This window comes from Homo sapiens, chromosome 13 (genome assembly GCF_000001405.40).
Source record: "Homo sapiens chromosome 13, GRCh38.p14 Primary Assembly".
NCBI lineage: Eukaryota > Metazoa > Chordata > Mammalia > Primates > Hominidae > Homo > Homo sapiens.
In genome coordinates, this window is record NC_000013.11 from 40,539,461 (window position 1) to 40,562,688 (window position 23,228).

Genomic DNA, 23,228 nt, shown 5'->3' on the forward strand with positions numbered 1-23,228 from the left:
TTGATCATTTGGCAAAAGTGGTATCTTCCAGGTTTTTCCACTGTAATCTCATTCTTTTCCCCCTTTATAATTAGAAAATATTTGAGGGGAGATGCTTTGTAGATTTGGAGATGCTTTGATTATGTAGATATCCTATTTCTCCCTTTTGCCCTCTAACTTACCATTCATCAGTAGATCTTTCTAAGGCAATTATTACTGTGATATTTTAAGGGTGATCTTCCATTTCCCTCTTATGCAATAGAAGAAAAGTAACGGGTAACTATTGTGTATAAACAGGGTGTCCACGTGATTTGTCATTCAAACCAGGACACTTTTGAAAGTGAAAGAGGGTACTGTTAATAACTACAGTATGGCAACAAGCGTAAGTTTGTCCTGGGAAAACTGGGATGCACAGTCACTCTATGTGTAAAATTGACTCTCCAGCTCAAAACAACAGAGACGGGTCAACATTTACTGAAAGTATCTGTATCTTCGAGAAAATCAACAGCAATCTTTGGTGGGGTTTTGAGGGGAAACAGATCATCTTATAGCTGAGTTAAATGTGCAAAGGAATAGAAACTGCTGGCTTGTGGAAGATAATTGTGAAAGAGAATCAAGGGCTAGGAAGCAGAAGCCATAAGCAGCCTAATATACAAGAAATAATCCCCCTCGTCCAATCAAGAGAGAATGCAAACCTGCCTATGAACCAGCTGAAAAGTATCTGTTCCTGCGAAAGGGACTAGTATGTCGCATAAACTCATTAGTCTTTCAAACCCTAAACACTTTCTTCTCTCATATCAAGGCCAATTTTGAGTATTCTGTTTAATAATTTCCTTCACACATCTAGTCACTTAGATCATTTCCTTTTAGAAGACACTAAGCCACGAAGAAGGTAAAATGGGGAATCTCACCAGGGAGGGCGTGTTCCCTCTGATGGTGTTCTCCTATATTTATTTGGAAAAGGTTTCAGACCCCAGCATCTGCCCAAGCTGTCTCCAGTTGGTCTATAGTGGGAAACACCTCTTTGGCACAAAGTCATGACCCAGTATTATTTTTTCCCATTCTACTGAGGAGGAAACGGAGCCTTTGTGAGGGGCAAAGGATCTGTTTAAATTCCTGACTTGACACAGTAAGCGGCCAGAGTAGGGATGACTCATGCTGTAGCTATGGGCCTCCTCTTTCAACTTTAATGGGAATAGTCAACATCCTATTATTTGAATGTTTATCCTGGGTTCATATTATTTCACACAGCGAAAGGCATTTAATGGTAGAAATATTTTCAAACCTAAAAAGTTAAAGGAGAGGAAAATCTTCCACATATCCATACTGGAGACAATGGCGTGGAAGAAACCCGTACGGAAGATCAGAGATTGTTTGATAAATCTGTCACCTTATGTGGAAAGCCATAGTGTCTATGAATAATAATTTCCAGCTCAGAGGATCTGATGAGTGCTTCAGTTAGACCCTGCCCCCAGAGTGCTCAGAACATAATGATTATTTTTCTTGTTGTTGTAAATATTAATAAGCAACAACTGTAGCCTAACACTGTGCGGAAAACTTAAAAACTAGTGATACAAAGCAGATAAATAACTCTAGAAATTATTCCGGGCATTCCTGGAGCTATTCAAGATAGAGGATAGGGCATCCAAATAGTCATTTCAAGGAATTATAACCACAAGAGTTTTCAGCTAATGAATTTAGAAGAAATGGTAGAACTGGGCCAGGCATGGTGGCTCATGCCTGTAATCCCAGCACTTTGACTGAGGCAGGCGGATCACCTGAGGTCAGGAGTTCAAGACCAGCCTGGCCAACATGGCGGACACCCATCTCTATTCAAAATACAAAAATTAGCTGGGTGTGCTGGCATGTGCCTGTAGTCCCAGCTACTTGGGAGGCTGAGGCACGAGAATCACTTGAAGCTGGAACCCAGGAGGCAGAGGTTGCAGTGAGCTGAGATCACGCCAGTGCTCTCCAGCCTGGGAGACAGACCAAGACTCTGTCTCAAACAAAAAAAAAGGAAGAAGAAATGGTAGAATTAGAATATCACCATTTTGTAATCTTCATGAAATAATGACAATAACAATGGTCATCAATGGCTGCTAATATCATACAAAAGGCAAGTGGACATCATGTGCTTCCCACCCTGTCTAGTCGCAGAATACTATAAAGTATTCTTGACAAAGACTGGACCTAGGCTAGGCGCAGTGGCTCACGCCTGTAATCCCAGCACTTGGGAGGCCAAGGTGGGTGGATCACCTGAAGTCAGGAGTTCGAGACCAGCCTGACCAACATGGCGAAACCCTGTCTCTACTAAAAATACATCAATTAGCTGGGTGTAGTGGCAGGTGCCTGTAATCCCAGCTACTCAGGAGGCTGAGGCAGGAGAATCGCTTGAACCTGGGAGGCGGAGGTTGCAGTGAGCTGAGAGCTTACCATTGCACTCCAGCCTGGGTGACAAGAGCAAGACTCCATCTCCAAAAAAGAAAGAAAAAAAAAAAGAAAAAAAAGACTGGACCTAAATATGACCAAGCCTCTAGATCTAGTTTTCAGGTTACACAGGGGCAGAGAAATATACTAATGGCACCATGAGGATAAAATCAGCAAAGTCCAAACTATGAGACACGCTACAAATGACACAGTTTCTTAAAAACAGTACCAAAAAAAAAAATGGGGGTGACCTGTACACTAAGAAAAACTCTTAGAATACATATCAAAAAAAGCAATGTATTGCCAGGCATAATGGCTCACGCCTGTAATCCCAGCACTTTGGGAGGCCGAGGCAGGCAGATCACGAGGTCAGGAGTTCAAGACCAGCCTGGCCAACATGGTGAAACCCTGTCTCTACTAAAAATACAAAAAAATTAGCCAGGCGTGCACCTGTAATCCCAGCTACTCGGGAGGCTAAGGCAGGAGAATTGCTTGAACCTGGAAGGCGGAGGTTGCAGTGAGCCGAGATTGTACCACTGCACTCCAGCCTGGATGACAGAATAAGACTCTGTCTCAGAAAAAAAAAAAAAAGCAATGTATTATAATATGGATGTTATCTGGATTCTAATTTGTATTAACAAATCATAAGAAAAACCTAAAAAGTAAGTGAGAAAATGTGAACATTGTGCTAACTGGGTATTTGATAATATTAAGAAATTTTATTCTTTATGTATTATGCTGCGTTTTGTGGTTATGCTTTTCTTGTTGTTGCTTTTTTTAGTTTCTGTGCACATATATAAACACAATGTCATTAGAAGAAAACATAAGAGAATACAGGGGAAAGTAAAGATTTCTTGATGAAGACACAGAAAGCACAAATCACAAAAGAAAAAAAGTAATAAATTGAACTTCATCAAAATTTAAAATTGTTCATCAAAAGGCACTCAAGAAAATAGGTAACATTAGGAGAAAATATGTGCAACACCTGTGTCTGAATATATATTATATCTAATCTATATCATGTACAAAGATATTACATACTTATATACACATACATTCCTATAGCTTATATGCAGAATATATACAGACCTCCTACAACTCAATAAAAAAACAAAAAATAATAAAATAATAAAAAGACAATGCAATTTAAACATGGATAAAATACTTGAATAGACACTTCACAAGACATACAAATGGTCAATAAGCACATGAAAAAGCATTCACCATCATAATCATCAGGGAAATGCAAGTTAAAATCATAATAAGATACCACTACAAACACTAAAATAGCTAAAATTAACAAGATGAAAAATACCAGATTTTGGAGAGGACATGGAACAACCAGAACTCTCATGCATTGCTGGTGGGAGTGTAAACTGGTACAGCCACTTTGGAAAACCATTTGGCATTTTCTTAAAAAATTGAATATACCTATGATCCTGCAATCACATTCCTAAGTATCCCACTCAAGAGAAATGAAAATATAATGCCCACAAAAAAAATGTGTACAAAAGTGTGTATAGCACCTTTATCCATAATAGTCAAAAATTGGAAATAGCCCAGATGTCTATCAACAGAAGAATGGATAAACCAACTGGTATATCTACACATTGCAATACTACTTAAAAATAAAAAGGACCTAGCTGGGCGTGGTGGCTCACGCCTGTAATCCCAGCACTTTGGGAGGCTGAGGTGAGTGGATCACTTGAGGTCAGGAGTTTGAGACCAGCCTGGCCAACATAGTCTATACTAAAAATAAGAAAATTTTTAGTATAGACTAAAAATAAGAAAAATTTTAGTCTATACTAAAAATAAGAAAATTAGCTGGGTGTGGTGGTGCATGCCTGTAATCCCAGCTACTTGGGAGGCTGAGGCAGGAGAATCCCTTGAACCCGGGGGGCGGAGCTTGCAGTGAGCTGAGTTCGCACCCTTGTACCCAAGCTGGGCAACAGAATGAGACTTCATCTCAAAACAATAATAATAAAAATAAATAAAAAGGACCAAATTATTGATACAAGCAACAACATGAACGAATTTCAAAAATAATACGCAAGTAAAAGAAGCCAGGAGCAAAAAAATGTACATAGTAAATGATATGATTCCATTTATTTCAAATTCTAGAATAATAACCAAGGATTATTGAGGATGAGGATACAGTCACGTACTGCATAACGTTTTGGTCAGAGATGGACCACACATGACAGTGATCTTACAAGATAATAGAGCTGAACATTGTCTATCACCTGGTAACATGGTAGCTGTTGTACTGCCCTAGAGCAATGCATACTTGTGTGTTTGTGGTGATGCTTGTATGAACCAACCTACCGCACTGCCAGTCATACAAAAGTACAGCACATACAATTATGTACAATACATAATCCTTGATAATGATAATAAATGACCATGTTACTGTTTTTTATGGTTTAGAGTGTACTCCTTCTACATATATATATATTTTAAATGTTAACTGTAAGACAGCCTCAGGCAGGTCCTGCAGGAGGTATCCAGAAGAAGGCCTTGTTATCATAATAGGAGATGACAGCTCTATGCATGTAATTGCCCCTGCAGACCTTCCAGTGGGACAAGATGTGGAGACGAAAGACAGTGATATTGATGATCCTGACCCTGTGAAGGCCTAGGCTAATGTGTGTGTTTGTGTCTTCGTTTTTAACAAAAACATTTAAAAAGTAAAAATATAGGCCAGGTACAGTGGCTCACACTTGTAATCCCAACACCTTAGGAGGCCAAGACAGGAGGATTGCTTGAGGCCAGGAGTTCAAGACCAACTTGGGTAATGTAGTGAGAACTTGTCTCCACCCAAAAAAAAAGTAAAAAAATTAAACAATTTAAGAATAGAAAAAACCTTATAGAATAAGGATACAAAGAAAGTATTTTAGACAGCTATACAATGTATGCATTAAGTGTTGTTAAAAGAGTCAAAAAGCCAAAAAAAATTTCAAGTTAATAAAGGTACAGTAAGCTAAGGTTAATTTATTATTGAAGAGGGAAACTATCTGGTACAAACGTAGCGTAGCCTAAGTGCACAGCATCTATCAAGTCTCCAGAAGTATACAGTAATATCCCGGGCCTTCACATTCACTCACCACTCACTCACTCACTCACCAGAGCAACTGCCGGTCCTGCAAGCTCCATGCATGTTAAGTGCCCTATAGAGGTGTACCATTTTTGTCTTTTATACCATATTTTTACTGTACCTTTTCTATGCTATGTTTAGATATGTTTAGATAACAAATACCACTGTGCTATAGTTGCCTACAGTATTCAGTACAGTAATATGCTGTACAGGTGTGTAGCCTAGGAGCCACAGGCTGTACCATTATACCCCAGGTGTGTAGTAGGCTATACCATCTAGATTTGTCCAAGTGCACTCTACGATGTCCACGTAACAACAGAATTGCTTAACCATACATTTCTCAGAACACATCCCTGTTGTTAAGCGACGCTTGACTGTGTATGAAGCAAGTTTAGCCATGAGCTGATAATTATTCAACCCAAGTAAGGAGAACTCCCAGCACTTTGGGAGGCCAAGGCAGGCGGATCACCTGAGGTCAGGAGTTCAAGACCAGCCTAACCAATATGGAGAAACCCTGTCTCTATTAAAAATACAAAAAATTAGCCAGGTGTGGTGGCGCATGCCTGTAATCCCAGCTACTCAGGAGGCTGAGGCAGGAGAATCGCTTGAACCAGGGAGGCGGAGGTTGCAGTGAGCCAAGATCACACCACTGCACTCCAGCCTCGGCAACAAGAGCGAAACTCTGTCTCAAAAAAAAAAAAAAAGAAGAAGAACTCATGGGGCTTTATTATATTTTTAATTCTTTCTACCTTTTTTTTATGTTTCAAATTTTCCATGATAAAGAATAAGTGAGAGACAGAGAGAGAGTAGGGAGTTGGAAGGATTGAGGGAGGAAGAGAGGAAGGAAGGCAGAAAGGGAGGGAAGGAAGGGGGGAGAGGAGAGAGAGAAGGCAAGGGAAGGGGGTAGGACAGAGTCCAAAAACAGGAGCGACCTCCACAGCCCTGAGGACATCGCTGAACACCAACTCTGCGCCATCACAGATGTTCCTAATGACGCCCCTGAGGCATCAGGAAAGGTCAGATTGTATTGGATATGATCCTTGATTCTTTTTGCAACAGAGATTGATTTATGTCCACTTTGGGGGACATTTTACAAACAACATACAAAAAATCCAGGCATCCTCCTTCAAGTGTTCCTCAGCGTTTGTAGCATGAAACAGAGCTCGGCCTGAGGACACCACCCAAATGAAGTGTCAAAGTGTTATCATCATGGAGTGTCTGGCCCTGCCCCAGGCGGCTCCCACCTCGGCTGCTGCTCCCTCACCAGGGGTTTGGAAGTTGCCCTGGAGCTGCCTCTGCCCTGGAGTTGGCCTGGAGCAAGGTGGTGTCTGCCCAGCCTGGAGTATGGGAAACTCATCCCAGCACCAACAACTGGGTCTAGCTTATGCTCCCTCAAAGATCTTGCAAGAGGAGTTGCTTCTCTTTCGCAGCTTTAAGAAAAGAGAGGCCCATTTCCAATGGAAAACAGACCCTCCGCGGGGGCTGGGTTGTTATTTTCCTCAGACCTGGATGCATTTAACTCAGCCATGTGGTCCCCCCGGATCAAATAAGCCGGTTTCCAGATCTGCCTTTCGCTCAAACGGTTTCAATGCCACTCCACAGTGTTATTCAGGGATTGATCCTTGTGCTGGCAAGACCAGAGGAGAGGCCAAAGCAGGCCCAGATGCGCAAGCTCCTGGAGCAGGAGGCCAGGCTGTCCAACTCACTTATGCAGCACCCACAGTAGGTCAGGCAGGGAAAAGCCTCTGATGAATGATGAGATTTTCAGTTTCATGGCCTGCTATCAGCCCAGTATTTATTTGATCCAAGGAGCCTATTTTTACAGAATACTTCATGACATCTTTCTGCTAACCCACACTACACACTAAAGAGCAGCAGAAGACTGCAAGCCTCATGAGGAAAGACAGCGCGTCTGTCCCGATCACCACATAGGATGTCCCCAGCATCTTGCATAGGGCCTGCTACACAGCGGATACTCAGTAGGTAAATGTAATTATTGAATGAATGAATGGCAGAAAATATTACAGCATTTCTGTAGTCTAAGAGCAGTTCTCAAATTTCAGTGTTCATAAAAATCACCCGGAATAATTAAAATATAGATTTCTCCACCATCACACCCCGATCCAAGATTCTGTTTCTCCTTCTCAGAGGTTCTGGAATTTGCATTTTTTACAAATCTTTCCAAGTAATTCTGTTGCCAACAGTTAGTAGCTCACATTTTGAGAAAGTCTTATCTCTGAAGTTCCCTTACAACAGGTTCCCTCAGGGTCTTGGGTAACTAAACTCCCCCCGCCCAGGGGACTCACTTTTCACTTCTGCATGGTCCACGGCGAATAGGTTTGCTCTACTCTTTTAAATTCAAGGAGAGGCTGAGGAATTAGCGTTGGCAGAGGTGGCTGGTATCCTTGGATGGAAGGTATTATAAATGCAAAGCGCTATTAAAATCACAAAACCTTTTGAATAAAAAGCCTTTCTTAATAATCCATCCACTTTTCTTAATCATAGTTTTTCTTCTACAAGTCTTAGAAGTACCCTGGAAAAAAAAAATCAGCTTATTTTGCAGAGAAACAACAAATTCCAACACTTGCTTTATGCTGGTCAATGTCCAGCCTTGCTGCTTCCAAACATTTCATATATGGGGCCTCTATTCTCTATAGTCTACAAGATGACAGGCACCTCCCTGTCAGGGGTAAGCCTGCAGCTCTCTTTCTGGATGACACATTGGAGGCAGTGGGAAGCTTGGTTTCAGAATGCTTACTAAGGTCAAAGCAGCACCTTTGGGAGCTGATTCAAATGTCTTCTAATCCCAGAGGGGCCATTATTGTCCGTAACGAACACAGAACTTTCATTCATACAATTCATAGCAGTCTCCCCAACACTCAGATCCAGCAGTGGGGAACATGGCTGAGTTTTGAGCCAACTCTTTAAGCAAGGAAAGGTAACTCAAATGCTGGAAGTATTACATGATAGAATGCCCAGGCCTGGAAACATTCTGAAGTCTTTTTTTAGTTATTCAGAAATGACAAAGGAAATTATTTACTCCAGAAAGGTTTGCAGATTGGTGTGGCTGAGGGATCCAAGAAAGCATTTTTCCTATGTCTTCCTCCCTCTCCCTACTCCTGCCAGTAACCAAGTGACAACAATATTGCTAGTCATCTATTTTTTTAATCATGTGATTTTCTTACAAAAGACAAGGACAATTGCTCAGATTGTTGTTTCCAAAAAAAAGGCACATGATGGTTAGATGAGATTCCATACAGCTGTTAAATGCTTCCAGCCAGTCCTATCCAGGATTTTGAAAATTATAGCCATGTTTTTAATGGAATAACAATTATTGAAGACAGAAAAATGGAGTCAGAGGGGAACTAGAAACTTACAGATAATATTGATTTAAAAAATATAGCTCATAGGGCTCTAAGAACTTTTGAGTCTCAGAAGATGTGTTTACAAGTACACATGAAGTTTTCTATTCAGGTTTTTTGGGAGGTTTTTTGTTTGTTTTTGTTTTTGTTTTGAGATGGAGTCTCGCTCTGATGCCGAGGCTGGAGTACAGTGGTGCGATCTCAGCTCACTACAACCTCTGCCTCCCGAGTTCAAGCAATTCTCCTGCTTCAGCCTCCCGAGTAGCTAGGATTATAGGCATGCACCACCACGCCTGGCTAATTTTCATATTTTTGGTAGAGACGGGGTTTTGCCGTGTTGGCCAGCCTGGTCTGGAACTCCTGACCTCAAGTGATCCGCCTGCCTCTGCCTCCCAAAGTGCTGGGACTACAGGCGTGAGCCACTGTGCCCAACCAATTCAGGGTATGTTTTATCACGACTTCCAATTATTTCTAAACAGAATTGCTTGACCTCAGGAGGTCCTCCTTTTCACCAAGACATTGTTTTGGTAGGTGTAGGGAAATAAAACAGGAAAAACTTTTCTGTCTTGCAAAGGAGAATTAATTATTTTCCTTTCAAAATAATATTTAATTCTAAAATATTTCAAAAATATTTGAATATTTCAAGTGTTTCAAATTAAATTTTTTTTAAAAGTCAGAACATGAAATCCACATACTTTATCCAATCCCATTAGGCTGGGGAGAGATGGAGACACACCCCCATCACACAACCGAGGCAAAAACTACAAATAACACTGCGGTGTCCTTCTCAGATGAGGTGGCTTGAAAACAAATCACATATCTATTTAATTAAGGGTGGCCAGTTGTCTTGTTAAAAAATAAACGAACAAACTCAGAGACTATAACTGTCCCAAGATGAGCACATCCTAGCTGTGTCTATAGACATGCAACACTTTCTGGGGGAAAGTAGATAAACTGGCATTTCAGTCTTGTTAATGGCAATTTTGGAAGTAGGAGCTAAGTGAAAGGGCTGACTCTGTCCCTGGAGCCCAGAGAAAAATCTATATGTAAAGAAAGGATTCTGCAGCCCTGGAGATGGCTGGCTGGAGGGCAGGCCAATGATCCCTTTTAGACATTTCATCATTGCCCATACCTTTCTCTCTTGCCATTGTACTTGCCTCGGTTGAAGTAATAGCAGCTCCAGACTTGTCAAAATACTTGGGGGTTCTTGGTCTGCTTTTAATTTGGTGGAATGTTGGCAGATGTGGGCTGGCTCACCAAAGAAGAATGTCTTTGGCTGTGTCCAGTGGTCAACTGCACTGGCCAGTTGCTTCAGGCTCAGTGGAAGGCTGTTGATGACCCAAAGTCAGGCAGGCCTGGCTCCAAACTTCTTGTTAGGATGGCTACAGGGCTGCCTCAGGAGAATTGTTAGTATTTAGCCAGGGCTAAACACAGCCACAAGGCTATATTTGGGAAAGGAGTCTTAAATGCTTCCAGTTCACCTGTGTAACTACTCTGACACTAGGGGTTGGGGTGGACTTTAATGATAGGGGAAGGCTTTGAGCTGGACTTTGATAAGGAAGGGAGGAGAAAGACATTCCAGATAAACAGACATTCTGGATAAACAGACCTTCCAGCATGCAAAAAGGCTGGAAGCATAAAAGGGAATGGAGTGTGACTGGTGCATATGGTGGAGATGCAAAGGCAAAGGTTGGTTGGGAAGGACCTTGCATGCTGTCTGAGTACCTTCAGGCTGCTATAATAAAATACCATAATCCAGGTGGCTTAGAAACCACAGAAATTTATTTCCCTGTTTTAGAGGCTGGGAAATCCAAGACCAAGGCCTCTCCCTTTCCTGGTTCACAGATGGCACTTTCTAGGAAGAGGTACCTAGAGCTAGGTACCTCTTTTGGGTTTCTTTTGTGAGGGCACTAATCCCATTCATGAGGGCTCCACTCTCATGACCGAATTACCTCCCAAAGGCCCCACCTCCTAACCCCATCACCACAAGGGTCAGGATTTCAACATTTGCAACATTTAAATGGGGCGGTAGAGGTACACAAACATTCAGATGGTAGTATGTGTCATAGATTCAAGTTTATGCTGAGACACCAGGCTAACATTCCTTTAGAAGAATAACCCTCCAGCCTGTGAAAGATTCTTCCAGGGGGCCTCTGAGTCCTCTCACCCACTGGGTGCTCTTGGTATGTCCACTGTGAGGTGAGGGTTCCAGGAAGTAATTAAAAAGCAGTCATTTGTTAATAGGGTGAACATATAATTAATCACCCAAACCTGAACACTTTGAGTAACAAGAGGAACTTAACCATAACTGTGCTGGGACAACATCTTTTCCTAAGCAAATCAGAACATTTGATTGCTCTCATTTTGTGAGCCCTTTCTATATGCCAAGCACTACCATAGGGGGTTAACTCAGGTTATTTAATTTCCACAGTAACCCCAGTATGCAGGTATAATTCCTCCCATCAAAAATGAGTCTAAAAAGCAGAACTGGCATCCTCTGCATTCCTTTTCCAGTTCCAGAATCTTCCTCTTGCACCCTCATGTTAAAAGCTGTATCCATGCTTACAGCATCAGCCTAACCTGCTGTGTGCCCTTCCCAGTCACTGACATCTAGCAGCTACTGGCTCTGCATTTCTCCCCCAAATTAAAGGCACTGGCACTTAAATGTGACTCCTCTCCACCCCAAGTCCCTTGGTTAGCTCTGAAATCTAATTTGCATGCTACATTCAATCTTGAGGCCCTATCATCCCCTAACCTCTTCTACTCTAGGGCCCTGGCCTTCACAGCTTCTCAGACACCTGCTGCCATGACCTCACCCCAGACCCTCCCTCAACCTCCTATTCTATCTTTCCCTTACTCCCATTCTGCCTGTTATTGTCACCAAAATCATTAGTCCTTTAATGCCTTCATACACCCAGTTGGTGATGTGTTGGCCAATGTTTAACAACCTGCTCTGTGGGGAAATAACGTGTGCCTGTATTTACGTACATAAATTAAGAATTTACTGATATAAAAGATGAGTAACAATTTACAAATAATAAAACATACAATACTCTCTATTGTAAATTATATTAGGTCAATTGATTCTCACAGAATTCTTTCACTGATTTTTATGGTCAACTTTTATCCGTAGCCAACATATGGTGGCAATCCAACCAGGACTTGACAAATGGACTCGCATCCCAATGCATTTTTTTTCTCAGATTTACTTTCTCAATCAACTGATGTGATTTAACTGTTAAACCATTTCTCACTCTCACCCAAATTATATTAGTGAAGCTGAAACTCTGCTTAGTGTCAGCACAGCAGCAGTGTAACAGTGAAACAGCACAAGAGCTAACATAACTAACTCCATTTTGGTTTAAGTGGCCCTTACCCATTTCTGCACATAGGCAAGGATAATTTTAGAGTACTATTAATATGCAAAAACAGCAATCATGTAGTTTTAAAAACTAACTCTGGGATTAAAGGAGAAGTATGTAAACAACTATGTTTTTGTTAAAGATTTATAGGAGCGTTGTGACCTGACCAAGGACAAAGAAGTTCCTTGAACACTTGCTGGCACCCAGATGTCGGTGGTTATCTGTTACCTCTTGATCTCAATCCCCTCCCCTTCCTTCTGCCCTTAACATAAAAAGAGCCTAAAATTTGTACTGTCTGAAGATGGTACTTTAGAAGGCTAGTTCCCCATCTTCTCGGTTTCCTGGCTTTCCAATTAATCCTGCTTTTCCTCCCACCAACACTTGTCTCTCGAATCTGGCTTTCAAGCAGTGAGCAGACACACCTGGGGTCAGTTATGGTAGCACACCATTACACAGCATCCTCACCATGCAACACAGTCGCTGCCAACAACCTCGATGGTGGACAAGACTAACATGAATACAATAATTACAAAGTGAAGAGTTTTGAGGACTTACTATCTTTGTTTTTAAATATAATAGTTTATCTGACTTGTTGATAATGAAGGTATTTAAAATTGGCTCACAAAACTTCTGCAAGTTTAACCATTCATTTTTGTGGACCAGGTGACTGGGCTGCAACACACACTACTGTGGCCCCATCGACCTCAGGCTTTTCCTCTCCTCTCCTCTCTCCCTATCTTACAGATGGAGTCCCACAGAGTCTATTCTAGACTGGGATGAGGTCAAGGTCAAGAAAGCTTAAATGTCTGTAAATTTCCTTAGTACGGGTCCATGTTGGGGAACTTCTTGGGGAATAAATATCAATACTAGTTTTTATTGGGCAGATATAGGTTTACAGTTTTACTACTGATAATACTTTAGAGTTGCTGAAGAAAAACAGGCCTATTCACTCTTGGAAATGGCCCTGTAAACTGTCTACACTCTCCTGCTTAAGAAACGAAACACAGCAAATACGAAAGCAGAAAAACACTGGCGGCCGGGCACGGAGGCTCATGCCTGTAATCCCAGCACTTTGGGAGGCCAAGGCAGGCAGATCACTTGGGAGGCCAAGGCACGCAGATCACTTGGGAGGCCAAGGCAGGCAGGAGTTTGAGACCATCCTGGCCAACATGGTGAAACACCATCACTACTAAAAATACAAAAATTAGCCTGGCGTGGTGGTGCATGCCTGTAGTCCCAGCTACTCGGGAGGCTGGAGCATGACAATCAACCAAACCATGGAGGTGGAGGTTGCAGTGAGTGGAGATTGCACCACTGCATTCCAGCCCGGGTGACAGAGTGAGACTTTGTCTCAAACAAAACAAAACAAAACAAACAAAAAACAGAAAAACATTGGGGATGAACCAAATAGTTCTCTCACTTATCCTGCAGGGAGATGCTGTCAGAAGCCCCACTACGGAAACATCCCAAGGCCTACTATTACCTAAGGTGACACCACTCAGCTGTGCAGGCTTTCTCCCTGACACAGGAAACCATTCGCAGACATTACCTCATCGCTCTAATCTCCTATCAAACCTGTGAGACAGGTAACAGAAGGTATCCTCAATTTACCTGTGGGGAAATTGCTGCCCAAGCATCAGAGCTTCCCACTCTGCAAACACTGCAAGTGTCCCTGACACCAGCACAGACTAAGAAGTGGGCATCTCTGGCTTATTCTGGGACCAAGTGCTAAACTGCAAATGGACCTCCTCTCTATCCCAATTCATCAGGGGAGAAAAATCTGGTTTAAAATGTGAGCCTTATTCTAAGCAGCTGTCTCATCTAAGGTCATCCGACTTGGGCAGCAATTTTAGTACTTTACAAGCCAAGTATGTTTGCAGAAACTCTAGCAACTACAAGAACACAGCAGGGCTCCTATGCTGCCATCTGCAATATGTTTTTGTAGGAATTCTTTCTCAAAGTTGCTTGTTCGGGGATTTAAGCTCACAGAAGTTAATATGTAAAGGACAAATAACAAGCGACCTTCTTCCTGAAGGATGTAAATCTCTACTTTCCACCAGTGGCTTCCAAGAAAACAAGAGTCACTTTGGGGAGATATGGCATAAGTAAGGTACTAAAGGCAAGAAATTTCCTTCAGCCTTGGAGTTCGTGGAAATATGGGGGCCAGGGCCTAGGGGTGGAAAAGTGTCCTGCCACCAGTCAAGGAAGAAAAGCTGGCCCCAACTGTTTTACTCTGCTTCTTCTAACAGGTGAATGCCTTCTCAGTACAGAGTTCCCTCCTCTCACAGCCACATCACCAAAGCCAAGCACTTGAACAGAAAGCCCCCTCTCCCCGTTGGCTTCAAAAGCTCTCTAGCTTTCGGATGCCCCCACGACACTCCATAGCTTCCTCCCAAGGCCTACGGCTCCACTTCACGTCTGGTTTCCTGATGTATTACCCACCACCACCCAGGACTACTTGTTCTTCTCCTTTATCCCTGCATATAGTTACCTCCCTTTCCAGTCCACTGGAAATTCCATTTTTTTCTAGTTAAACTAAAAAACACCCCAGAGTCTATGATTTGAAAAGTGGACTTGTACCCCAATCCGCTTTTTCCCAATAATTTTCTCAATAAATGTAACTGGTATAATTTAAGTGTTAAACTATTTCTCACCAAAGCAACTTTTATACCAAAACAACAAACTGTAATAAGGAAACCTACCAGGAATATACCTTCATACACCTGGGCCCAGAATGAGCACCACTAGATGATACAAGGTTTGATGTGTACGTGATGATGTCTGCTTCAGAGACTGCCACTTTTAAACATGGTGTATCCAGCGGAACAGCCCTCCACCTACCTTACCTAACCCACCAACCAGTGTAGTGTCATTGTTATAGGTCACCTGAAACATGGAGAAACAATAGCCAAGGCAAAGGTCTTCCAGTGTGGCCGATTCACAGATCAAGAAACAAGCCTAGGTACACATCCTGATTCTACTATCAGCTCTGGTCACATCAAGGGCCTAGATAACTGTCCAAGGAAGGAAGCCTGTCCGGCTACAAAGTCTAACACTGAGCTCCTCCTATGAGGTCTCCCAGGGAAACCTTCCTGCTATATGTTGCTTATCAATTAATGTAAAACTTGGAAACTGGCCTCAAGTAATGACATTGGATGTGCAGTTTTGTATATATGTGCAGAGTTATGAAAGGCTAGCTGGTTAGAGTTCCAGGGTATAAGCAAGGGGTTTTTCCTCATTTGGACTACATCTACAGTTTTCACACTGAACTGTGCATGAGCCCCAGGGGATGGGGGTAGATACTTTCATCTCTTCTATACATTGGGCTTCTGGCTATCACGTCTTTTAAAGAAAGGGTTTCCACTTCCAAAAGTGGGTAAATTTTAAAATACTCTGAAAGTGGGATGGACCCTCAGTGTCTACACAGATAAACAGAATAATCTTTTTCCTTGCTTCTCCAGCTCATTCACTTGTCTGGTCAGAAAGTCAGAAGTTAGGAGAAAGTGGGCTTCACAATGATTTTAAAATGCATCTTAACCATCTTAATCTAATCCTGGCTCATTCCTCAGACATCTTCTGAAAAGAGCAAACATAAACTTCCCACCTACAGCCACTTAAAGGAGGGCTGATCCTCCCCCTTCAGCAAGGTGTGCAGTAGTGACTGGAGGAGCACTTATGACCTTAGCCATGGGGTTCTGCCACTCCATCCACCGCATCTGCTCTGTGACCTCCTAGCCAGACCCTCCTAACTTGCCCTCAAGGTGTTTTTACCTTTAGCAGAGTCTGTTCTAACATAAGACTTAATATGCCTAGTAATTACTGAACCGGATGTACTTTCAGACATTCCAAAGATGAAGTATTCCAGGATTGTTATCAAGGATTGTACTTGTTCCCCATCTCAGGGGACTATAGTTTGGTCCCAGAGGGGCTGTTCCCCTTTTCCTCCAAAGGAAATACCAGATTTGAACCAATGACAACATTGTGGCTGACAAGACTTAACTCAAGTATTTAATAGCTTCACAAAAAATTCCTAATAAAGAGCTTATTCTGCATAATTAGAAAAGAAAGACACCAAGCCATTTAAACATAATTTATGTACATTTATGGCTTTATACAATTATAGCAAAGATTGTTCTTGTGTCTGTAAGTACATCAACATCAGGCACTTCTCAGAGTATCGGAACAAGAACGTGGAATCTGCACTGTTACTAAACTCGGGTAGCGAAATGCAGGAGGCATGACTACGTCCTGATGGGACTTACATGGCCACCCCTGGCCACACTGCCAGGCTGTGCCCACCTCAAGGAGAGGCCAACTGTAATGCCAGGTTGGTCTGTTCGCATAAACCACAATACATTTTTTTTAATGAATGATTATTCCCAAACTAAAACCAGAAAAGAAACTTCTCTTTTAAAATTAGTTATAAATTAAGAACTCTTAGGAGCTTGAATGTAAGAATTTTAAGTTGGGGCTGGGGTTATTGGTAGCATATATCCAGCAGTTGAACAAGTCCAATTTGTATATCGTTGGAGAATGATTTCCATTTTAAGCATCCTTATCCTCTTCTTGGGATGTTCCATTGATTTACTGCTCACTGGGATACATGTGCTCATTTAGACTTTGTCAGTTTGTCAAAGCAGAACTTTCCAAGTAATACATCTATTACCTAAATATATTCCATACGTCTATATTACGGAAACAATACATCTTTATATTTAAAATATCTGAATAGCTCTATAATACAATATGCTTTTAATAACAGTACAAACCAGAGAAAATAAATCAAACAAGGCTGCATAGGTGATATCATTTGCACATTTCACAAAGCAATCATGTACAATAACTGATATATACTCATTACTCCAGAAAGTCAGTATTCTTACAGGAAAAAAACTACCAGAGGCCACATAATGTTTGCTTTCCAGACAGACCAGATGCCTTTCCCTGGACTTCACTGTTCTCAGAGAGCTACCAAGGATTCATGACAGGATTTCAACACACAATGGGGGCTTGGGAGAGGTATAATTACCCAGACTCAGGAGGAAGATATATTTTCCTAAGAGCTACTCCATGAAGTAGTAAGATTTTAACAGTGATTTTGGCTGTAGTTGCCTCTTTAATGAACAAATGGGGGCTCTGAGGTTCCTTGTATTATGATGCAGTAATGGCACGGGAGGAAAGTGACAGTACGTAGTAATAGAAATTAGTACACAAGTACTTTGGCACCAAGTTCAGTTACATACCCGGGAGGCTGTGCTTAGAGGAACTTGGGTTTCTAAAACCAGCTATGTCTTGGACTGCCCCAAAATGAGGATGATAGAGTGGTGGCTGTTCAATGAATCTTCAAAAAAATGATCATCACAGTGGGAAGCTTACAATAGAGCTGGCTTACTGTAGGAAATCTTATCAGGAACACTTGTGTTCTTGTTAAACATTTAGGAAATACCAAGCCAATGAAGATGCAATTAACATACAAGACAAAGCAAGTGTGATGTGGGCTATATACAGAAAAATTAGATCCTTCTCAAGAACACAAGAGGAACAGTGCTGTGCACCTGTTCTCTTCATTGTGATGACTTTGGGCTTTCCACATGACTTGAAAATACTGATGGACTAAATAGGACACAAAGCCAATTAATTTGGTCTGTCAGTTACAGGTAATTGGAAAGTAATAAAACATAATGATAGGAATTACAGTTTAGGTTGCTACAGGCTAAAGAAATTTTCAAATTCTTAAGCCAAGGCTTTTAACATAATCTCAATGCACAACTTACAGCTGGTTTTCAAATAAATCTCCCCAATTTTTAAGTAAGTTCTATTCCATTTGCTACCCATCTGAACTTATGAACACAAATTCTACAAACCACTCAAGTCCCATTTTTAAATTCCCTCCTTCCACTTAAACTTCCACAGTGTGCTAAGTAATCTAATCTGCAGGGCAGAAGGGAGAATGAGATGAAGTATGAGTGTTGACATAATTCCTCAAGGCAGAACTACAAAACCAACCTCCACCTGGACTGAAACAAGAGCAAAGAATTATGAGGGGAAACTTTTGCTAAAGCTCAACTCAAAATGGTGAAGTGGATCAAAATCCCTCGTTTGACAAAGGACCATTGCTTTAGATGCAGATCTCCCTTTTCTGATCTACAAACATTATGAGGCCTCCCAGGACTACAGAGGTCTCTAGAGAAGACTTGATGCTATGCAGTACGCATAGTTCAGTAGAAGCAGATGAAATTTCTTTAAAATACATACATAAAAACATATTAAGTTATCCTAAATAAGAAACGCAAAGTGTCCATAACTATACATCACTTTCCTGCCCAACCAGGGCCTGAAACGTTGAATATGCAAGTACTAATTACAATGATTTAAGATTAGTCAGAAACATCACTAAGTAGCATCCCAAAGTGTACAAACCAGTTAAGCATGTATAAAATTAGTACTAATCCAGTTAGAATACAAAATGAAAATTATGAATGCTGCCCCAAATACCTGTGGTTCCACAAAATTTACAAGCTGACTATGTAACAAAGTAGACTCTAGTTTTAAGAAAACATTATTACAGTTCAATATCTATTCCAAAAATGTTCTTAAGTCCCAACAATAACATCAAAAATCATTTATCTGGAAATTAGAACCATTTAAATGTTTGTACAAATTTGCAAATAACAAAATAAACAAAAAAAAATAGAAAAGACCTGTACAAAGCTGGCATTTAATCTTTTTTTTTCCAAAAGTTTAACAAGTCCATTAATTTAGCAGATTGATAACAGGCTACTTGGTTCTCATGTGAATTCTGTGGCAACGTGAACAGGTCCAAGGCTGTTCAATGGAGATGCAGAATGGAGATTCAGTTCTTTGTGATCCGTCAGTTCCGCAGAAAACAGGTAGTACAAACAAAAGTTTAACTTATCAAGACATGAGGCCCATCACAGTATTACAAAAAGAGTATAAACTTTCCTTGGACCAATTGGATATTTAGAAAAACCAAAAACACACACAAATACAATCTGTATCTACTGCTTATATACAAAACTTGAAAGCACACCAGGATCTGAAAATCTTTTCTGCAATTATATGGTGTAGTGAGTTTGGCACTTCATTGTAATGAAATTTCCAATGGCACAGTCCTTATCTACAGCAGCACATAACCTGCACACATTGGGCAAACATCCTGTACAGGAAAAATGTCTTTGCTGCCAAGTCTGACGAAAGGAAAAAAGGAGGGTTTTTTTTTTTGTTTTTTTTTTTAACCAAGAAAACTAAAAGGGAGTTGGTGAAAGACATCTTTGGACTGCTTCTCTCAGTTCCTGCTGTCAGACAATCTGAAGTACTTTTAAGTGTAACCTAGGAAAAAACACATACATACGCACACACACATACACACACAATGAAAATATAGCCAAATTAAAATCAATTCAACTTAACATGTTAAGAGTGACAGACATACTTAGGGGCAAAAAGCTAGAGCTTTCTCAAACAGCTCTAAAATCATTCAATGGGGAAAATTCTACTTTACAAAAAACCCTTCAGCATTTGATTTATATCAAATGTATTCATTTATTGAAGAGCTACTAAAAAGATGCAGCCATCGAACTGTCAAAAAGAAATCTTTAAAGCAGTTAAAGGAAGCTTCCTTCTGTGTAAGCTCAGAAGGAAAACTGTAAGCTGCAAAAAGGACAGAGAATGAATGATAAAAGATCCCTCTCTGCAAGGGACAGTCAGTTGACATCAAAGATGTGCTAACCATGGCAAGTTACTGTGTTCCTCGCTTTTAAGTTCTATTTTTCAAAAGGTCTTTTGATATTGGGGTGAACTTACCTGCTCACTAACCCTCAGCCTGACACCCAGCTATGTGTCGTTGTCTTGACACTGTGTGGGAAGCTTTGGTTGGGCAACACATTGTCAAAGTTAAAATCCAATGTATCTCCATCCATGAGGTCATTCCGAATGATGGATTCCATGTCACAGTCTAAGCGCTCAATGAACATGCCATCCAAGTCACTTGGGAGCTTCTCCTGGTGGAGAAGGCCCATTCTGCCATAGCCATTGCAGCTGCTCACGGAGGAGTAGCCCCCCAGGGCACTCATCTGCATGGGGTGGGGCAGAGGCACTTGTACAGGTGTCTTCACTTGGGTCAGGCGGTTCATACCCGAGGTGTGGGGCATGGTGCTTACCGTGTGGGGCAGGGGACGCCCGTTAACTGCAGATGTCTGCTGAGCATGTCCAGGGTGGGTATGGGAGCTGGGATTCATCATTTTGTTATGAGATGCCTGGCTGCCATAGGTTGACATGACCGAATTAGGGCCCATCATGACGTTCTGGCCCAGAACCCGGCTGTTGGGCTGGGCTACCCCAGGATCAACTGGTGTCATAATGTCATTATGGGGAGGAGAGTCAGAAGTCAGCAACTCCTTCAAGAGTCCAGGCGCACAGTTATACTGACTCATACCTCCATAACTCGACTTATTGTCCTGAAGTGTTTGTATAGGCATCTGGGGCAAAGGGCTCATGCTGGATTGGCCATATGTATATTTTTGGTAGTTTGGGCTGGGTGAATTCAAACTGGTGTTTGGTGGCGCAAACGAGTAGCACGGCGTCTGCTGCATCATGGTGCCAGGTGAGGACTGGGTCGAAACAGTTAATGATGTTGGTGATGAGAGAAGGTTGAGATTATCCAAAAGATTTTCCATGTTTTCGGGATTGCTTATCTCAGACAGACTGGGTAAAGTAGAGGCCATCTTTGCGGCAGATGGCGGGTACACCATAGAATGCACATCCCCTTCTCCAAGATCATCCTGTTCGGTCATAATGGGTGAGAGTCTCCCACTAATAGTACTAGCATTTGAGCTAGTTCGAGGGCGAAATGTACTCCAGTTATCAAAGTCATCATTGCTGTGAGAGCCAGGGCTTGCAGGCCATTTGGAAAACTGTGATCCAGGGCTGTCCCCAGCACCCTCCTGGCCAGACTGGAGAGATGCTTTCTTCTTGGCAGCTCGGCTTCGGCTCTTAGCAAATTTACTGTTGTTGTCCATGGATGCAGCTCTTCTCCTAGGAGATTTCCCGCTCTTGCCACCCTCTGGATTGAGCATCCACCAAGAACTTTTTCCAGTTCCTTCATTCTGCACACGAATGAACTTGCTGTGTAGGGACAGATTATGACGAATTGAATTCTGTAAGGCAAAACATCTTATTAGAAGTACAATACTTCTCTGCTTGCAAAACTTCCTATTCTACATGTATTACATGGAAAACAAGTAAAAAATCTTAAGAGTGTGTGCTACAGATTTCCATCTGAACAGTCCTAATGGCTCTGAAGCCACTACAAAAGATCTCAAATAGCACAGGAATAAATAGTATCTTATCTTAAAAACAATATCTGTGGCTGGGTGCGGTGGCTCACGCCTGTAATCCTAGCACTTTGCGAGGCCCAGGCAAGCGGATCATGAGATCAGGAGATCAAGAGCATCCTGGCTAACACAGTGAAACCCCATCTCTACTAAAAATACAAAAAATTAGCCAGGCATGGTGGTGCAAACCTGTAGTCCCAGCTACTCGGGAGGCTGGGGCAGGAGAATGGCGTGAACCTGGGAGGCGGAGCTTGCAGTGAGGCGAGATCGTGCCACTGCACTCCAGCCTGGGAGACAGAGTGAGACTCGATCTCAAAAAAAAAAAAAAAAAAATTCTATATCTTAATTTAATGAAGGGACAAAATTTAATAAAGAGTATTGTAAATACCTTCTTTTATACAGCTACATTTTATGGAAAAATCAAAGGAATTGGTTTTAATAACCGCTTAAATTTTGCTTAGCTACAATAGTACTCTGTATCAAAGTGCTATCAAAAACCCCTTCCATTCTACTATCCTTAAAACTACTGCCAATTCTCTTCAGTTTGAACCTGTGCCATTTACATAAAGAAGTTTTATATTACTGGGCCCACATACTTACAGAAACAAAAAAGACAAAAGAATATAGAATATATAGAATATAGAATATAGGCCAGGCATGGTGGTTCACACCTATAATCCCAGCACTGTAGGAGGCCAAGGCAGGCAGATCACCTGAGGTCAGGAGTTCAAGACCAGCCTAGCCAACATGGTGAAACCCCATCTCTACTAAAAATACAAAAATTAGTCGGGTGTGGTGGCAGGCGCCAGTAATCCCAGCTACTTGGCAGGCTGAGGCAGGAGAAGGAGACTGCGGTGAGCTGAGATCACTCCAGCCTGGGCAACAAGAGTTAAACACTCTGTCGCCAAAAAAAAAAAAAAAAAAAGAATATAGAAATATAGAGCTGATCAAGAATTAAAGGCCCCCAAATTAATAAGACTTGGATTCATTCACACCTTTAAAGCCCATTAAGCAAATACAAGTGAATGTAAGGAAAACAGAGTCATTGCTTTTGTATTTGAGAAAGCTGACCTGCCAAAAGAAATTTTTTTTTAATTCAAGTAGTGCCCCTACCCTCCAGTTCTACCAATGACCAGTAGTATGAGCAGGATGCACCAACTAACTCCATGACACACCTCCACGTAGCCAGGGGCTACACTGTCCAAACAGACAACCTGGGATGGGAAGAAATGACAGAGAACGCAAAGAGCTCTAACTCTCAAGCTACCGCAGCTTCATAACTAATCATGCCATGTTTATCATCCCTAGGCCAACTAGGGAAGAAAAACCAACAATCTTTCTTTTGAGTACTTCCTGGGTGGCTCTGCTACTTACTTACCTAGGTGACCTTGGGAAGCTGCCTAGCCCCTAATGTGTCTTAAGTTTCCTCACCTGTAAAGCAGGGCTAAATTACAGAGCCTTATCAGGGTTGTTACATGTACTAAATGAGATACATAAAAATGCTCAGCGGTGCCTGGCATGTAAGCAGTCACCATGAAGGGAATATTAGACCCCAACTTAGAATAGTGGTATCCTGCGCCCCAAAGTCCTGCTTCTCTATTCCTATTCAGTGTGGTATGTATAGGAGCTTAGAAGTAGTACAGATACAAAC

At 41.7% G+C, this 23,228-nt stretch overlaps 1 protein-coding gene across 4 annotated transcripts in view, besides 5 other annotated features; it reads right to left on the reverse strand.

Annotated features, from left to right (window-relative positions):
* Positions 722 to 1,271: an enhancer, noted in NCBI's record as "OCT4-NANOG-H3K27ac hESC enhancer chr13:41114319-41114868 (GRCh37/hg19 assembly coordinates)". NCBI's record gives its function as "activates a minimal SCP1, AML or CMV promoter by ChIP-STARR-seq in naive and primed H9 embryonic stem cells {active_cell/tissue: H9 hESC(naive and primed)}" and the evidence as "EXISTENCE:reporter gene assay evidence [ECO:0000049][PMID:30033119]".
* Positions 1,272 to 1,821: an enhancer, noted in NCBI's record as "OCT4-NANOG-H3K27ac hESC enhancer chr13:41114869-41115418 (GRCh37/hg19 assembly coordinates)". NCBI's record gives its function as "activates a minimal SCP1, AML or CMV promoter by ChIP-STARR-seq in naive H9 embryonic stem cells {active_cell/tissue: H9 hESC(naive)}" and the evidence as "EXISTENCE:reporter gene assay evidence [ECO:0000049][PMID:30033119]".
* Positions 1,822 to 2,369: an enhancer, noted in NCBI's record as "H3K27ac hESC enhancer chr13:41115419-41115966 (GRCh37/hg19 assembly coordinates)". NCBI's record gives its function as "activates a minimal SCP1, AML or CMV promoter by ChIP-STARR-seq in naive H9 embryonic stem cells {active_cell/tissue: H9 hESC(naive)}" and the evidence as "EXISTENCE:reporter gene assay evidence [ECO:0000049][PMID:30033119]".
* Positions 6,273 to 6,773: an enhancer, noted in NCBI's record as "H3K4me1 hESC enhancer chr13:41119870-41120370 (GRCh37/hg19 assembly coordinates)". NCBI's record gives its function as "activates a minimal SCP1, AML or CMV promoter by ChIP-STARR-seq in primed H9 embryonic stem cells {active_cell/tissue: H9 hESC(primed)}" and the evidence as "EXISTENCE:reporter gene assay evidence [ECO:0000049][PMID:30033119]".
* Positions 6,774 to 7,274: an enhancer, noted in NCBI's record as "H3K4me1 hESC enhancer chr13:41120371-41120871 (GRCh37/hg19 assembly coordinates)". NCBI's record gives its function as "activates a minimal SCP1, AML or CMV promoter by ChIP-STARR-seq in primed H9 embryonic stem cells {active_cell/tissue: H9 hESC(primed)}" and the evidence as "EXISTENCE:reporter gene assay evidence [ECO:0000049][PMID:30033119]".
* Positions 16,207 to 23,228, reverse strand: part of FOXO1 (forkhead box O1) — a 110,975-nt gene continuing 103,953 nt past the window's right edge. For all 4 annotated transcript variants that reach the window (NM_002015.4, XM_047430204.1, XM_011535008.3 and 1 more), the window contains exons 2-3: positions 20,049 to 21,400; positions 16,207 to 19,574 (exon numbers count right to left, since the gene is read on the reverse strand). In NM_002015.4, the coding sequence (NP_002006.2) occupies positions 20,063 to 21,400 (1,338 nt within the window). In that variant the 3' untranslated portion in view covers positions 16,207 to 19,574; positions 20,049 to 20,062. The remainder of the gene's footprint in view (positions 19,575 to 20,048; positions 21,401 to 23,228) is intronic.